Source organism: Homo sapiens, chromosome 5 (assembly GCF_000001405.40).
Source record: "Homo sapiens chromosome 5, GRCh38.p14 Primary Assembly".
NCBI classification, from domain to species: Eukaryota; Metazoa; Chordata; class Mammalia; order Primates; family Hominidae; genus Homo; species Homo sapiens.
In genome coordinates, this window is record NC_000005.10 from 139,565,217 (window position 1) to 139,583,269 (window position 18,053).

At 44.3% G+C, this 18,053-nt stretch overlaps 1 protein-coding gene across 3 annotated transcripts in view, besides 5 other annotated features; it reads left to right on the forward strand.

The window, feature by feature from the left end:
• The window catches only part of UBE2D2 (ubiquitin conjugating enzyme E2 D2), a 102,195-nt gene that overhangs the window by 38,977 nt on the left and 45,165 nt on the right, over positions 1–18,053 (forward strand). The gene's annotated exons all lie outside the window — the stretch shown is intronic.
• Positions 89–188: an enhancer, noted in NCBI's record as "active region_23242". NCBI's record gives its function as "activates an Ori minimal core promoter by ATAC-STARR-seq in GM12878 lymphoblastoid cells {active_cell/tissue: GM12878}" and the evidence as "EXISTENCE:reporter gene assay evidence [ECO:0000049][PMID:35858748]".
• Positions 379–518: an enhancer, noted in NCBI's record as "active region_23243". NCBI's record gives its function as "activates an Ori minimal core promoter by ATAC-STARR-seq in GM12878 lymphoblastoid cells {active_cell/tissue: GM12878}" and the evidence as "EXISTENCE:reporter gene assay evidence [ECO:0000049][PMID:35858748]".
• Positions 2,782–3,283: an enhancer, noted in NCBI's record as "H3K4me1 hESC enhancer chr5:138947583-138948084 (GRCh37/hg19 assembly coordinates)". NCBI's record gives its function as "activates a minimal SCP1, AML or CMV promoter by ChIP-STARR-seq in primed H9 embryonic stem cells {active_cell/tissue: H9 hESC(primed)}" and the evidence as "EXISTENCE:reporter gene assay evidence [ECO:0000049][PMID:30033119]".
• Positions 10,532–10,661: an enhancer, noted in NCBI's record as "active region_23244". NCBI's record gives its function as "activates an Ori minimal core promoter by ATAC-STARR-seq in GM12878 lymphoblastoid cells {active_cell/tissue: GM12878}" and the evidence as "EXISTENCE:reporter gene assay evidence [ECO:0000049][PMID:35858748]".
• Positions 12,336–12,385: an enhancer, noted in NCBI's record as "active region_23245". NCBI's record gives its function as "activates an Ori minimal core promoter by ATAC-STARR-seq in GM12878 lymphoblastoid cells {active_cell/tissue: GM12878}" and the evidence as "EXISTENCE:reporter gene assay evidence [ECO:0000049][PMID:35858748]".

An 18,053-nucleotide genomic window follows, 5' to 3' on the forward strand; every position in this document is an offset into this window, starting at 1 on the left:
TTTCTTTGACAGAGGGACGCTATTCATGTCTGTGAATTTGGCAGTCTTTGAAATGCCATGTCTTTTTTGGAAAAAGCTTTTGATGGACTTTATTTTGATATACATCTTAAGGTCCCCTGACCTATACTATAAGCAGAGCATAGCAAAGAGGGTCATTATGAACATTGTGTGTAGTTCTGGGCAGGGCTTGGGATCCTTTGGGATTGTTGGTATCTACACCACATGGCCCCACCCTGCTATGTTTTAAGGTTTTCTGCTGACTTTTTAGGTCTTCAGCCTTGATTTTGATGCTTTGAGTGCCTGCCTCTAGCAGCACCACCCCCAGCCCTTTTCCAGTTGGCTGCATCTCATCTGTTGTGGGCTAAGAAACCAGATCACAGAGCTTATTAAAATTGTGTCTAAAATAAGATCCAGTAGGCTCTTGACTGAAGAGGGCTTCATGTGCTCTGTGAACTGTGTGGTTTCCTTGGCTGATCGGAGACCTTTCTGACTTGCTTCCTGTTTTTCTTCTTTACTTTTGCTATACAGATGTAGGAGGCTTTTTGGTGCTCTTAGAGTGCTGTAATGTTGAAGTATTTGGTTAATTTCTCTATTCTTGGGAAGGGTAAAAGGCTAAATAAATATCTTGATTCTTTGAGGAGTTGAAGACTGACCAGAGTTGGATACTAAAAGCTTTTCTTAACAGTAATAGTGCATTGTACATTTTAATGGTGTCCTACTAGTTGCAGATAACGTTTGGCATACATAGCTTTCAAACAAAGTAATGCCAGGATTATCACTTGATCTATTTCTGTGATAGAGATTTTTTTTCTTTCTTTTTTTTTTTTTTTGAGGCAGTCTTGCTCAGGCTGGAGTGCAGTGTCATGATCTTGGCTCACTACAAACTCTGGCTCCCAGGGTCAAGCAGTTCTCTTGCCTCAGACTCCCAAGTAGCTGGGATTACAGGCACTCACCACCATGCCCAGCTAATTTTTGTATTTTTAATAGAGACAGGGTTTCTCCCTGTTGGCCAGGCTGGTCTTGAACTCCTGACGTCAGGAGATCCGTCCGTCTCGGCCTCCCAAAGTGTTGGGATTACAGGTGTAAGCCACTGTGCCCGGCCTATGGCTAGCTTCTTTTAAGGCGTCTCAAGACAAAGTTCTCAATGAAATAAAGATTTCAGGTCATGCACAGTGGGTCATGCACAGTGGGTCACGCCTGTAATCCCAGCACTTTGGGAGGCCCAGGTGGGCAGATCGCTTGAGCTCAGGAGTTCGAGACCAGCCTGAGCAACATGACGAAACATGGTCTTTACAAAAAATACAAAAAATTAGCTGGGTATGGTGGTGGATGGCTGTAGTCCCAGCTAGGTGGGAGGCTGAGGTGGGAGGATCTCGGGAGCCTGGGAGGTAGAGGCTGCAGTGAACCGTGATCAAGCCGCTACACTCCAGCCTATGCAACAGAGTGAGACCCTGTCTCAAACAAACAAACAAACAAAAAGATTTCAAACTCTGATGTCTATAAAAGCCAGGCAGGTACCAAAGTGAGCAGAGAGAACTTGAGGGAGCTAGAAAATGCATGTGCTATCAGATGAGGGCAACTGCTAACCAGCTCCCTGCAAATGTTGCTATTGCTAAAATCTGTGGGCCCAGTGTTGCAATATCTTCCATTCAAAAAAAAAAGAGAAGCCACAAATCCAGATTTTTTGGCAACCGATTCAACTTAAAAAAAAAAAGAACAACAAAATACGCATTTTTGGTCGACATCAGTTTAGTATGTGGATTAAAGTAACCAGGGATTGGGGTTCATTAAGTAATCAGGAGTGTAAAAAGATTAAGTCATTTAAACAATACTTTCTGTATTTTTAAAAGTTTGAAAGTAATGCTTTATGTAAGATTAAGTTTTCTTGTTTGTTTGTTTTTGAGATGGAGTCTTGCTCTGTCGCCCAGGCTGGAGTGCAGTGGCATGATCTCGGCTCACTGCAACCTCCGCCTCCCAGGTTCAAGCAATTCTCCTGCGTCAGCCTCCCGAGCAGCTGAGACTACAAGCTCGCACCACCACGCCCAGCTAATTTTTGTATTTTTGGTAGAGACGGGGTTTCACCATATTGGCCAGGCTGGTCTCGAACTCCTGACCTTGTGATCCACCTGCTTCGGCCTCCCAAAGTGCTGGGAATACAAGCATGAGACACCGTGCCCGGCCTTAAGTAGTTTTTAAATACAATTCTAATTAACTTGCTTTTTTTTTTTGAGACCTCAGGTGATTTGCCCGCCTTGGCCTCCCAGAGTGCTGGGATTACAGGGATGAGCCACTGCACCCAGCCAATTTGCTAAGTTTTTTTTTTTTTTTTTTTTTTGAGATAGAGTCTCGCTCTGTTGCCCAGGCTGGAGTGCAGTGGCACAATCTCGGCTCACTGCAAGCTCTGCCTCCTGGGTTCACGCCATTCTCCTGCCTCAGTCTCCCGAGTAGCTGGGACTACAGGCATGCACCCCCATGCCCAGCTACTTTTTGTATTTTCAGTAGAGACGGGGTTTCACCATGTTGGCCAAGCTGGTCTCAAACTCCTGACCTCCAGTGATCCACCCGCCTCGACCTCCCAAAGTGCTGGGATTACAGGCGTGAGCCACTGTGCCCCGCCTTTTGTATGGTTTTGTGTGAGGTCTTGGGAAAACCAGTTTTGTAAATACATTGATCCCGTAGAAGTTTATGTATTACTCTTCCATTATGATCTGTTTCATGTTTTGAGTTTCTCTGTAGACTGACAATACACTTTGAAAATGTCTGAGATTGGGAAGTTACCGAAGCATGATCTTAAAGAAAGTAGTTGTAACGCTGAACAGTACTGTATTTTAAAAAATTGCTTAGGCTGGGTGCGGTGGCTTATGCCTGTAATCCCCCAGTACTTTGGGAGGCTGAGGCGGGCCGACCACCTGAGGTCAGGAGTTCGAGACCAGCCTGCCCAATATGGTGAAACCCTGTCTCTACTAAAAATACAAAAATTAGCCAGGTGTGGTGGCACTCACCTGTAATCCCAGCTACTCAGGAGGCTGAGGCAGGAGAGTTGCTTGAACCTGGGAGGCAGAGGTTGCAGTGAGCCAAGATCTCGCCACTGCACTCCAGCCTTTGCAACAGCGAGACTCCATCTCAAAAAAAAAAAAATTGCTTAAAAATACTGTAGGCCGGGCTGGGCGCTGTGGCTCATGCCTGTAATCCCAGCACTTTGGGAGGCCAAGACAGGTGGATCACAAGGTCAGGAAATCGAGACCATCCTGGCTAACACGGTGAAACCCCATCTCTACTAAAAATACAAAAAATTAGTCAGTGTGGTGGCAGGTGCCTGTAGTCCCAGCTATTCGGGAGACTGAGGCAGGAGAATGGCGTGAACCGGGAGGCAGAGCTTGCAGTAAGTGGAGATCGCGCCGCTGCATTCTAGCCTGGGCGACAGAGCGAAACTCTGTCTAGAAAAAGAAAAAAATGAAAATAAAAAATACTGTAGGCCGGGCGCGGTGACTCACGCCTGTAATCCCAGCATTTTGGGATGCCGAGGTGAGTGGATCACGAGGTCAGGAGTTCAATACCAGCCTAGTCAAGATGGTGAAACCCTGTCTCTACTAAAAATATAAAAATTAGCCGGGCATGGTGGTGAGCACCTGTGATCCCAGTTACTGGGGAGGCTAAGGCAGAGAGTTGCTTGAACCCGGGAGGTGGAGGTTGTGGTGAGCTGAGATCGCACCACTGCAGTCCAGCTTGGGCAACAGAGCAAGACTCCGTCTCAAAAAAGAAAAAAAAATACTGTACTAGAGGTGTGGTACCATATATTAGATTAATATTAGAGGTAAGGACTGATTGAATTCCTATCAAAATGATGAATTAACAGGTAGTCCTGTGGAGTATTGGGAACTTTAATAAATGGTTGTCTGAATATGGCTATTTAAATTAGTTCTATCTTGGATAGTTCTATCTTGGATACCTTCTTACTCCAAAAGGTGAGCTTCTTCACATAAGTTCTGGGAATTTTTTTTTCCCCACTAAAAAAGTATTTTTTATTTCCTTTACAAAAGATCATTGAATTAAGGCACTTTCTTTGGCTCTACTAGATTGTTATTTAAATATAATTCAAACAGCCATCGAGGATAACTGTTAATAAATCTAGGTTTTCTCTGAAGTCTCCCAGTGTATATTACTGTACTGATGACTGACAAGGAAGAGGTTTTGACAAGGTCCAATTCTGTATATTTCTCTTAAAATATCCTAGGCAGTTCCCAGGATAGGAGTATCTGACTCATGCCTCATGCTACCAGGAACCTTTGCAGCCTCATCCCAGAAATGCAGAAACACACTTGTTTTGTCTGTAGAAATAAAGTTTTGATGGTTAGATTTCCAGGCAAACCTTCAAAATCATGTTAAACTATAATATAGGGAAATAAAGTAGTGTTTGTTCTTCTGTCTGCAGAGTCAAGTGAGATTTTGGGTAATAGAATCATAAAATGTTAGCACTGCAGCACATCTCAGGGCTGCTGTCTGGAAAGGCCGTGTGACCTACCAGGTAAGAGTAGGTCTGAATTGAGAACCTGGATTTCTGGACTGTCCAGTGTATTTTCTGGCAAGCCATGTGTTATCCTTACATAGCTGTTAGGTATATAAATCCAGAGGATGCAGCCTTTTTTCTTTTGTTCAAACAATTGGATATTTAAACTGTGTCCTGGAACCTGAAGATCTTCCTCAACTTCCCTTTATATGATTGGCAAGGTTGCTCATACTGCTTGAAACTGCAAATTTAGGCTTGACACAGTGGCTCATGCCTGTAATCCCAACACTGGGAGGCCAAGGTGGGAGGATTGCTTGTACCTAGGAGTTCAAGACCAGCTTGGTCTGTAATGGGAGACCCTGTCTCTACAAAAGCGAAACAAAGTGAAACAAAATTAGCTGGGCATGGTGATGTGTGCCTGTAGTCCTAGCTACTCAGGAGGCTGAGACAGGAGGATCACTTGAGCCTGGATGAAAGGTTAAGGCTACGGTGAGCTGTGATCATACCACTGCACTCCAGCCTGGGCAGCAGAGCCAGATTCTGTGTCAAAACAACAACAACAACAACAAAACAACTATTGCAAATTTGGTGTTCTATTCTCACCACCACCACCACCCCGCCTTTTTTTCCCCCGAAACGGAGTCTCTACCTCTGTCGCCCAGGCTGAAGTGCAGTTGTGCAATCTCGGCTCACCGCAACCTCTGCCTCCCAGGTTCAAGAGATTCTCCTGCCTCAGCCTCCCAAGTTGCTGGGACCACAGGTGCATGCCACCACGCCCGGCTAATTTTTGTTTTTTGTTTTTATTTGAGATGGAGTCTAGCTCTGACGCCCAGGCTGGAGTGCAGTTGTGTGATCTCGGCTCACTGCAACCTCTGCCTCCTGAGTTCAAGCAATTCTCCAGCTTCAGCCTCCAGAGTAGCTGAGACTACAGGCGCGTGCCATGATGCCCAGCTAATTTTTTGTATTTTTAGTAGAGATGGGGTCTCACTATGTTAGCCAGGATGGTCTCGATCTCCTGACCTCGTGATCCACCCACCTCGGCTGGTTTGGAACTCCTGACCTCAAGTGATCCACCTGCCTTGGCCTCCCAAAGTGTTGGGATTACAGGCATGAGCCACCACCCCCGGCTTTCTGCATATATCTTTCATCAGAGTCAAATGGATTTTGTTTTTTAAGTGAAAGCAAGTTTATTAGGAAAGTAAAGGAATAAAGAATGGCTACTCCCTAGGCAGAGCAGCCTCAAATGGGTTTTTAATCTCTAAAAAGACTAAAAACCACTGTCCTTCCACCTTAAACATTATTTTAATCTCAGCAGATGAACAGAGTACCTGTTCTGCAGAGAAAATATAAATCTTACGTGTGAGTTGTTAGGGATTTCCTTCAAGGTATTAAAACAACAGATCGGCTGGGCGCGGTGGCTCATGCCTGTAATCCCAGCACTTTGGGAGGCCGAGGCGGGTGGATCGTGAGGTCAGGAGATCGAGACCATCCTGGCCAACATGGTGAAACCCCATCTCTACTAAAAATACAAAAATTAGCCAGGCACAGTGGTGGGCACCTGTAATCCCAGCTACTTGGGAGGCTGAGGCAGGAGAATCACTTGAACCCAAGAGGCGGAGGTTGCAGTGTGCCGAGGTCGTGCCACTGTACTCTAGTCTGGGCGACAGAGCAAGACTCCCTCTCAAAAAAAAAAAAAAAAACAAACACAGATTTCAGCTATCCACTTTAGAGTACTCACTGTGCATCAGGAATTACTTGATCTTTTCAATAATCTTTCAATAATTCTGTTCTCCCCAGGTTAGATAAGGAAACAGTGGGAGAAATAAACTTGCCTAACATTATATGGTTATGGTAGGAAGAACTAGGATTCAGATACAGGCGATCTTGACTGTAGAGCTATTGTGTCTCCAGATTTACTTGTTTTAGTCATAGCCCTTCTCCCCTCTAATCTCTAGAGAAGCTTTACTTTTCCCTTTGCCAAACTTAACTTTTGCTTTCCATCCTTTTCTCTCTCTCTCTTTCCCTCTTTCCTTCCTTCTCTCCCTCCCTCCCTCACTTCCTCCTTCCCTCACTCACTTCCTCCCTCCTTCCTTCCTTTTTCCTTTTCTTGTTTTTGCTCTCCGGTAATTGTCTTTGTTTTCATACTTCCAATCTCTTCTCCACTAACTCCTCTTAGCATCCAAACTTATCGAAGGTTTTCCCCTATAAAAAAAAAAAAAGCAGTAAAATAACTTTTTAAACTTCCCTCTTCCATAAGAGCTACTTCCTTCCTCATCTTTATCCTTCCCATCTCTGACATTTCAGTCCCAGAATTCTTGAAAGAATAGTCTATTCACTGTTCTGGAACTATTTAGTAAGGTCACTAATGATTACTTAATTGCCACATTCAGTGGATACCTAAGTTTTTATTTAACTTTCGTAATAGTTGACATGATTTTCATTCAGTTCCTTTGGCTTCTGATAAACTGCTTTCTTCTTCCTCATATCTGGTGTTTCCCAACTTTATTAGAATGCTTATCAAAGTAGTATTGTTGATGGAGTACAAGCCAAAGTGTATGAAATCATGCATACTTGTATTAAAATTGAGAGCACTGGCTGGATATGGTGGCTCATGCCTGTAATCCCAGCACTTTGGGAAGCCAAGGCAGGAGGATCACTTGAGCTCAGGAGTTCAATACCAGCCTGTGCAATATAGCAAGACCCTGTGTCTACAAAAAATTAAATTAGCTAGGTGCAGTGGCATGTGCCTGTAATCCCTGCTACTCAAAAGGCCAAGACAGGAGGATCGCTTGAGCCCAGGAGTTTAAGGCTGCAGTGAGCTGTGATCATGCCAGTGCACTCCAGCTTGGGCCACAGAGCGAGATCTGTCTCTTAAAAAAAAAAATTGACAGCACAAATTACCTCAGATAAATTAATTATTATTCTTTTTTTTTTTTTTTTGAGACAGAGACTTGCTCTGTTGCCCAGGCTGTAGTGCAATGGCGTGATCTCAGCTCACTGCAACCTCCGCCTCTCAGGCCCAAGCAATTCTCCTGCCTCAGCCTCCCAAGAAAAGAAGCTGGGATTACAGGCATGCACCACCGTGCCTGGCTGATTTTTGTATTTTTAGCAGGTTTCACCATGTTGACCAGGCTGGTCTTGAACTCCTGGCCTCAAGTGATCCACCCGCCTAAGCCTTTCAATGTGCTGGGATTGCAGGTGTGAGCCACCATGCCCCACCTGATCTCAGATAAATTAATTAAAATATATAATCAAAATAATGTCACAAACAGAATTATTAAGAATTATCAAGATGAGGCTGGGCGCGGTGGCTCATGCCTGTAATCCCAGCTCTTTGGGAGGCCGAGACGGGCAGATCATGAGGTCAGGAGATCGAGACCATCCTGGCTAACATGGTGAAACCCCATCTCCACTAAAAATACAAAAAAATTAGCCAGACGTGGTGGTGGGCACCTGTAGTCCCAGCTACTCAGGAGGCTGAGGCAGGACAATGGCGTGAACCTGGGAGGCGGAACTTGCAGTGAGCCGAGATCGCACCACTGTACTCCAGCCTGGACGACAGAGCGAAACTCCATCTCAAAAAAAAAAAGAAAAAAAAAAAAGTACTATCAAGATGAAACATCTGTCATTCTTATTTTGCTATCAGTTTTAAGAATAGTATTTTTCTTACATAATAAAAGTCATCCTCATCAGGTACTCCTTTAAATGTCTTACTGTATATTGTTTTCATTGCAGTATAATATGAAAATTTGTTTCCAACAGATACATTGTAGCAAAAGAAAGAATACAGACTGCATATTTTGCAGTTAGGCTGCTGCTGACATTATTAATTATCCCATCATGGATAGGTCACCCTAATTTTTCTGAAAAATGCCTGTTCTTTGCTTGTGTTTATTTTGAAATAATACGACTACTTGGGCTTAGGAATCAAAGGACTCTGCTTTCCATTTAAAATGTCTTTCTCGGCCGGGCGCAGTGGCTCAAGCTTGTAATCCCAGCACTTTGGGAGGCTGAGGCGGGCGAATCACGAGGTCAAGAGATCGAGACCATCCTGGCTAACACGGGGAAACCCCATCTCCACTAAAAATACAAAAAAAATTAGCCAGGTGTGGTGGCGGGTGCCTGTAATCCCAGCTACTTGAGAGGCTGAGGCAGGAGAATGGCTTGAACTCGGGAAGCGGAGCTTGCAGTGAGCTGAGATCACGCCACTGCGCTCCAGCCTGGGCGACAGAGCGAGACTGTCTCTAAATAAATAAATAAATAAATAATAAAAAATGTCTCTCTCCTAGATATAAGTCAATTGGGAATGAGTACACTTGAAATATTTAATATATAATAAGCTTCGATTAAATAACTTCTCTCTTTTTTTTTTTTGAGACGAAGTTTCGTTCTTGTTGCCCAGGCTGGAGTGCTATGGCGTGGTGGTGGGGGCCTGTAATCCCAGCCACTCAGGAGGCTGAGTCAGGAGAATTGCTTGAACCTGGGAGGCGGAGGTTGCAGTGAGCTGAGATTGCACACTGCACTCCAGCCTGGGCAACGAGAGTGAAACTCTGTCTCAAAAAAAAAAAAAAAAGTAAAATTTAGAAGAAAAATATTACTGTCTTTATTACTATAATACATATTAGTAATTAGTATCTCCTGGGGAATGCTGCTGTAGTTGTAACGCTTGTAGTTGGTCCTTCCTAGAATCATGTTCTCCGGTCTTTGTTCAGTGCCTTTGCTTATACAGAGAATCTCTTCTCACCCCATCCCCTACCTCCTAAATTCTTTATTCATACTTGGGGACCCAGCAGAAATGGCTTCTCTAGGAAGCATGCATGAGGCATACAGGCAGTCAGAGTTCAACTGTAGAATCGTTTCTTAGTGTGTAGACATGATTGATTATTCCCCTATTTAGACTGAACTCTCCTGGGCAAAGTTCTTGTCTTATTCTTCGTATTCCTAGTACCTAAAGCATGGTATTCTGTGTTTGCCAACAACATTCAGTGAATGCCAATATCAGGTGGGGTGGCAAAAAAAAAAAAAAAAAAGAAAAGAAAAGGTGGAATTTTGGAGCATTTGTGGCCTTAGGCAAGTCACTTTGCGAATTTTCCTGAGCCTCAGCTTCCTTGTCTGTAGAATGGGAATTGTACCCTGCAAGCCTGTGGGGAAGATTAGATAGAAGAGGGTTTAGCATTTTGGACTACATAAAAGATAATTTTGTTGTTATTTTTTACAAATGTGCTTGGCAGTTTTATTCACAGTACCCGATACTTAGAAACAACTCAGATATCCATCATTAGCTGAATATGTAAACAAAATGTAGAAAATCCATATACTGGATGGAGCATTACCCACCAATAAAAAGGAACAAATAGTGAAACAACCCTGCCACTTAGCAGTTTATTAGTTGGCTCCAAGTTCACCCTCCCGTACTTGCTCTGCTTTGACTAAATAACTTCTGAAGTATGTATTTCAGCTGGTGAAGAGCTGGACTCTTTCACCTTTGCAGTGAACAACATGTTGGGCTTTGTCAATAGAGGGCACTAGAGGGACATTACAGAGGAAAGGGGCTTCTTAGATTTGGTGGACTTTTCTTTTTTTAAGTTTTTAAATATTATCATGGTGTCTTAACATGCCAATAATGTTGACCTACGGAATTGGTATAATCTCAAAATCTTAGGTGTCAGTGTTAAATATATGTTTCACTTTTACTTCATCGTCACCCCAAGCAAAAAAAGAAAAACCTGAATGTGAAAAGAATGAAGTCTTATAATATTTCTAAACTAAAAAAGGGATTGAATCCCAGTATTCTTCAGCAAACTTCAAAATACTGTCACCTTAATATGTTTTTAATACATGTGATATTTTTGTAGGTCTAGAATTGTGAAATCAATTCTCTTAAACATCTTATTATAGAAGTGTCTGCTGCTATCCTTTGAGCACTAACCCCACCACCTGTAATGCATCATGCCAATATAAGTGATAGAATTGCTTTGCTAAATTCTTAAGGGCTTATGTCAGGGAAAAACTTTGAAATTAGCTGGGTACAGTGGCTCATGCCTATAATCTCAGTGCTTTGGGAGGCCAAGGTGGGAGAATCACTTGGCTGGGAGACCAGCCTGAGCAATTCAGCAAGACCCCTTCTCTACAAAAACTGCAAAACTTAGCCAGGTTTGGTGGCACACGCCTGTAGTCATAGCTACTGGGAAGACTGAGGTGGAAGAGGAGGATCTCTTGAGGCCCAGAGTTCAAGGCGGCAGTGAGCTATAATCTGCACTGCACTCCAGCCTAGGTGACAGAGCGAGATCCTGACTCAAAACAAGACAAGCCTTGAAATCAAAGTTGATTTTTACAAAAGCCTCAATGGTAGGAGTTTTAGATTTCTTAAAATAATAGCACACTAATGGAGTGCGTGATTTTCTTTAGATTAAATGTTTACATATTTATACCATCTGTATTAGTTTCCTAGGGTTGCCATAATAAATTACCACAAACCGGGTGGCTTAAAGTAACAGAACTATATTCTCTCACAGTTCTGGAGGCCAGCAGTCTAAAGTCAGTCTGTCTTCAGGTCCATACTCTGGATGTTCTAGGGGAGAATCCTTCCTTGCCTCTTCCAACTTTGGTGGATGTCAGCATTCCTTGGCTCCTTTGGTTTGTGGCTACATCACTCCAGCATCTGCCTCCATCTTTGTATCACCTTCTCTGTGTGTGTCTTCTCTTTTGTGTCTTATATGGCCACTTGTCATTAAACTTGCCCATCCACGTAACCCAAAGATGATTTTTTTTTTTGAGACGGACTACAGACACGTGCCACCACGCCCGGCAAATTTTTTGTTTTTTAGTAGAGATGGGGTTTCACGTTGTTAGCCAGGATGGTCTCAATCTCCTGACCTCGTGATCTGCCCGCCTCAGCCTTCCAAAGTGCTGGGATTACAGGTATGAGCCACTGCGCCCAGCCAGTAAATTCTTTTTATTACTGTAGTAGATGATACTTGATTAAATGCCATCTCGGGTGCTTTCATTGTCAACAAAGGTGCTCCCATCTCTAAGCTTACATAAAATGTAATTTTAAAAAGACATTTCTTTAGATGTACCTGTTCACATTTTTGTTAATAGTCTCTCATGTCTAGTTTTGGAGGCTGGAATGTTCAAGGGAGCCACAAAAATCTCTGTCAGTTGGTGTTTTGAATAATTGTTCTGAAATATACTCCCAGGCTTGAAACTTGGATCTGGCCTTTTTTTTTTTTTTTTAACTTGAATTTTTTTTTTTTTTTTTGCTCTTATGTTATTCATATGAATTTTGCAAATAGAGAGCCAGTCTTGTAGCATAGTAAAATTTAACAGTTTATGTGACTATTGATCTACCCATCTTATAGAGATTGTCTGTCTGTAGGAAGACGGTGGTAACCGTGGTCAGACTCATCATTTTGAACACTCTAGGTTAGTGTTGGAGAATTTGTAAAACAGAAACTTAACCACCTGTGCTTTGAAAGAGTAAAGTCCATGAAAAGTATTACTTTTAAGTTTCAAGGATTTACAGTTTTAGGTTAACAGTTTTTACATATTGTATTTCAAAACATCAGAGTACTGAAACTTACCTGTATGCTTCTTACTAAAAATAGTTCATGCAGGTTCTTTTGGGTGATCATAGTTTTACAGAGTATAGTAGAAAACAGGATGCCAGTTAGCATCTCTCTTTTTTTTTTTTTTTTTTTTTTTTTGAGATGGGAGTTTCACTCTTGTTGCCCAGGCTGGAGTGCAATGGGGTGATCTCGGCTCACTGCAATCTCCGCCTCCCGGGTTCAAGCAATTCTCCTCTCACATCCTCTCGAGTAGCTAGGATTACAGGTGCATGCCACCACGTCTGGCTAATTATTGTATTTTTAGTAAAGATGGGGTTTCATTATATTGGTCAGGCTGGTCTCGAACTCCTGACCTCAGGTGATCTACCTGCCTTGGCCTCCCAAAGTGCTGGGATTACAGGCATGAGCCACTGCACTGGCTCCTGGCCAGCCAGTTGGCATCTCTTTAAGGTCTCCACTATCCACCTATATTAAGTAGCACAGAAACACACCAAGTTAATGATACTAGCATTCATCTCCCCCCACCACCACATTTTCTCAAGCTTCGTACTGCGGTACATGTGTGATTAGTGTTACAGAAGAGGGTGTCAGTAACCCAGCAAATAAGTTCTTTAGGTTTCTGGTTTGCTATGTAGTTACTAAGGAGGGATTCAGCTGGTGGAGGAGATCCTTGCGCAAATGCCAGGAAGGAAGCCCTTTTCCTCGCATTTCAGTGTTTCCTTTGAAGCCTAGTGAGGGTGAAGTCTTTTGGCATAGGTGCTCCACCATCTGTCTATTCACATAGACTCTTCCCATCTACCTGGCTATGTGCCACCCTTGTTGTGGACATAGAGTGGGTAGAGAGCAGAGACCACTGCTTCAGTAACTAAAAATAGATGGAATTTCAGATCCTGACAGAGATTCTCTGTGGAGTCGCTACCACTGCTCCTCATCTCCTGGAGTTAGTTGCAAGGAACAGCTGTTTGTCTGATCTGCTTTTGGTACTATGTATACTTCCTAATACTTTTGTTCCCCTACTTGCTATAGAAGTAGAAGTAGTTTTACTGGAATACCTACGATTTTCCTGTCCTGTCTCTCTCATTCACTTAGTTATTTTCTGCCTTGGCTCTGGTTGCCAAAATTCTAAACTTCTGTTTTGTGTTTTGTGTGTGTGTGTGTGTGTGTGTGTGTGTGTGTGTTTTGACAGGGTCTTGCTCTGTTGTCCAGGCTAGACTGCAGTGGCACAATCACGGCTCACTGCAGCCTTGACCCTCTGGGCTTAAGTGATCCTCCCACCTCAGCCTTTCCAGTAGCTGGGACAGCAGGTGTGTGCTACCATACCTGGCTTTTTAAAAAAATTTTTGTAGAGATAGGGTCTTGCTGTGTGGCCCAGGCTGCTCTCAAACTCCTGTATTCAAGTGATCCTCCTGCCCCAGCTTCCTAAAGTGCTGGAATTACAGACAGCCACCCCACTCTGCTAAACTTCTGTTTTGTTAGGTATATGATCCCATGGCTGCAGTATCAGAGAATGAGGTTATTGCCTTTCCATGTACCTTATTTCGTTGACTCTGAAACACATCAATTGAAAGATGTACCATTATTCTACTAAGAAGGAAAGTATATTTAGTGCCAATTAAGCTGACATGCCATTGATTATATGCAGCTTGATTTCAGCTATGTTTTATTTTTGTTTATTTATTTATTTATTTATTTTTGAGACGAAGTCTCACTCTGTTGCCCAGGCTGGAGTGTAGTGGCACAATCTCAGCTCACTGCAACCTCTGCCTCCCAGGTTCAAGTGATTCTCCTGCCTCAGCCTCCTGGGTAGCTTGAATTACAGGTGTGTGCCACCACACCCAGCTAATTTTTGTATTTTAATTTTTTAAATTTTTTTGAGATGGAGTTACGCTTTTGTTGCCCAGGCTGGAGTGCAATGGTGCGATCTTGGCTCGCTGCAACCTCTGCCTCCCCGGTTCAAGCAATTCTCCTGCCTCAGCATCTTGAGAAGCTGGGATTACAGGCATGCGCCACCACACCCGGTTTATTTTGTATTTTTAGTAGAGATGGGGTTTCTCCATGTTGGTCAGGCTGGTCTCGAACTCCCGACCTCAGGTGATCCACCTGCCTTGGCCTCCCAAAGTGCTGTGATTACAGGCGTGAACCACTGTGCCTGGCCTAATTTTTGTATTTTTAGTAGAGATGGGGTTTTGTCTTGCTAGCAAGGCTAGGCTGGTTTGGGAACTCCTGACCTCAAGATGATCCGCCCACCTTGGCCTCCCAAAGTGCTGGGATTACAGGCATGAACAACTGTGTCCAGCCTCAGCTATGTTTTTTTTAAAAAGTCTTACAATCAGTGACAGTCACTGTAATTGTAACTATCTGGTTCTTCAACAGATATTTACTGGGCAGTTTTCATGGACCAGGCACTGTGCAAAAAGCTGGAAGTCAGGTCCCTATTTGTTACTGGGTCAAGAGACATTAAATAATCACATAGATGTTGGGCGCGGTGGCTCACATCTGTAATCCCAGCACTTTGGAAGGCCGCGGTGGGCAGATCACGAGGTCAGGAGTTCGAGACCAGCCTGGCCAACATGGTGAAACCCTGTCTCTACTAAAGATACAAAAAATTAGCCGGGCATGGTGGCACGCGCCTGTAATCCCAGCTACTCGGGAGGCTGAGGCAGGAGAATTGCTTGAACCTGGGAGGCAGAGTTGCAGTGAGCTGAGATCATGCCGTTGCACACCTGCCTGGGCAACAGAGCGAGACTCCCTCTCAAAAAAAAAAAAAAAAGTTGTTCCCATAGATAAGGCTCATGTCTGTAATCTTAGTACTTTTTTTTGAGACAGAGTCTCACTCTTGTCACCCAGCATTGAGTGCAATGGAGCAACCATAGCTTACTGCAGCCTCAACTTCCTGGGCTCAGGTGATTCTCCAGGCATGTACCATCATGCCCAGCTAATTTTTTGTATTTTTATTAGAGGTGGGGTTACATCATGTTGCCCAGGCTGGTCTCGAACTCCCGGGCTCAAGTGTTACGCCCACCTCAGCCTTCCAAAGTGCTGAGATTACAGTCGTGAGTCACCCTGCCTGGCCAATCCTATCATTTTGAATGGCTGAGGAGAGTGGATGGCTTGAGTCCAGGAGTATAAGGCCAGCTGGGACAGCGTAACAGAGTGAGACCCTGTTTCTACAAATTTTTTTCTTTTTTGAAACGGAGTCTCGCTGCGTGACCCAGGCTGGAGTGCAGTGGCGCGATCTCGGCTTACTGCAACCTCCGCCTCCCGGGTTTAAGCAATTCTCCTGCCTCTGGGACCACAGGCATGTGCCACCACACCCGGCTAATTTCTTGTATTTTTAGTAGAGACGGAGTTTCACCATGTTAGCCAGATGATCTCGATCTCCTGACGTCATGATCCACCCATCTCAGCCTCCCAAAGTGCTGGGATTACAGGCGTGAGCCACCGTGCCCAGCCACTACAAAATATTTTTTAAAATAAGCAACACCCAGGTGTGGTGGCATGTGCTGGTAGTCTCAGCTCACTCGGGATGCTAAGGCAGTATTGCATGAGCGTAGTTTAAGGTTTCAGTGAGCTATGATTCACACCACTGTTCTCCAGCCTGAGCGACAGAGTGAGACTCTGTCTCAAATAATAATAATCACACAGACAAATAGGAACTGTATAAAGTTGTTAAAGCAACCTGGGCTTTACCGTAGTACTTAATAAGAAATAAATTGAAATGGCGGAAAAGGGCTTCTGGGAAGGTCTCTAAGGGCAATATTTAAGTGAAGCCTGAAGGTGGATGTGGGGGAGGAGAGGATGGGAAGAATATTCTAGGCAGAGTGTTCCTATAGTCCTGGAGTGGTTGAAATTTAAAAGTTAATTAAGAAAAAGTAGACTGGGCGTGGTGGCTCACGCCTGTAATCCCAGCACTTTGGGAGGCCGAGGCGGGTGGATCATGAGGTCAGGAGTTTGAGACCAGCCTGGCCAAGATGGTGAAACCCCATCTCTACTAAAAATAACAAAAAATTAGCCGGGTGCGGTGGTGAGCGCCTGTAATCCCAGCTACTGAGGAGGCTGAGGCAGGATAATCGCTTGAACCCAAGAGGCGGAGGTTGCAGTGAGCCGAGATCACGCCACTGCACTCTAGCCTGGGTGACAGAGCAAGACTCCGTCTCAAAAAAAAAAAGTAGAGGTTGAGCATTCCTTATCCAAAATGCTTAGGACGCTAAGTGTTTCAGATTTTGAATTTTTTCGGATTTTGGAATATTTGCATATACATAATGAAATGAGATATCTTGGGGATGGGACCCAAGTCTAAACACAGAATTGATTTATGTTTCATATAGGCCTTGCACAATTTTTTGGAGCCTGAACATAATTTTATGTAGTTTGTTTGTTTGTTTGTTTGTTTTTGAGATGGAGTCTCGATCCGTCACCCACGCTGGAGTGCAGTGGTGCAGTCTTGGCTCACTGCAACCTCTGCCTCCCGAGTTCAAGCTATTCTCCTGCCTCAGCCTCCCGAGTAGCTGGGATTACAGGCGCGCGCCACCATGCCTGGGTAGTTTTTGTATTTTTAGTAGAGACGGAGTTTCACTATGTTGGTCAGGCTGGTTTCAAACTCCTGACCTTGTGATCTGGCCGCCATGGCCTCCCAAAGTGCTGGGATTGCAGGCGTGAGCTACTGTGCCAGCTGTTTTTTTGGGGTTTTTTTTTGTTTTTGTTTTTTTTTGAAGATAGAGTCTCACTTTGTTGCCCAGGCTGGAGTGCGATGCAATAGTGTGATCATGGCTGATGGCAGTCTTAAACTCCAGTGCTCAAGCCATCCTCCCAAGGACTGTAGGCACTGTGGTGTACAGGTGTATAGGCACTGCCGCCCAGCTAATTTTGTAGAGACAAGGCCTCACTATGTTGTCTAGGCTGGTGTTGAACTCCTGGACTCAAGTCATCCTTCTGCCTTGGCCTCCAAAGTGCTAGGATTATAGGCCTTACACAATTTTTTTTTTTTTTGAGATGGAGTTTTGCTCTGTTGCCCAGGCCGGAGTGCAGTGGTATGATCTTAGCTCACTGCAGCCTCTGCTTCCTGGTTTCAGGTGACGTCCAGCTAATTTTGTATTTTTAGTAGAGACGGGGTTTCACAATGTTGGCCAGGCTGGTCTTGGACTCCTGACCTCAAGTGATCCTCCCACTTCGGCCTCCCAGAGTGCTGAGATTACAGGCGTGAGCCACTGTGCCTGGCCTTTACACAATATTTTAAATAATTTTGTTCATGAAATAAAATTTAACAGTGTTTTAACTGCTGCCTACCACATGCGACCAGGTGTGGAATTTTCTACTTGTGGCATTATGTCAGCACTCAGAAAAACTTTCAGATTTCGAAGCGATTTAGATTCGAATTTTTTTTTTTTTTTTTTTTTTGAGACAGAGTCTTGCTCTGTCGCCCAGGCTGGAGTGCAGTGGCTCAATCTCGGCTCACTGCAAACTCCACCTCCTGGGTTCACTCCATTCTCCAGCCTCAGCCTCCCAAGTAGGTGGGACTGCAGGCATCCGCCGCCACGCCCAGCTAATTTTTTGTAGTTTTAGTAGAGATGGGGTTTCACCGTGTTAGCCAGGATGGTCTTGATCTCCTGACCTCATGATCTGCCCGCCTCGGCCTCCCAAAGTGCTGGGATTACAGGCGTGAGCCACTGCGCCCGGCTTTTTTTTCTTTTTTTTTTTTTTGAAGACGGCGTCTCGCTTTGTCGCCCGGGCTGGAGTGCAATGGCACGATCTTGGCTCACTCCATCTTCCGCCTCTTGGGTTCCAGTGATTCTCCCGCTTCAGCCTCCCTAGTAGCTGGGATTACAGGCATGTGCCACCACACCCGGGTAATTTTTGTATTTTTAGTAGAGACGGGGTTTCACCATGTTGGCCAGACTGGTCTCAAACTCCTGACCTCAGGTGATCCACCTGCCTAAGCCTCTCAGAGTGTTGGGATTACAGGCATGAACCATTGCATC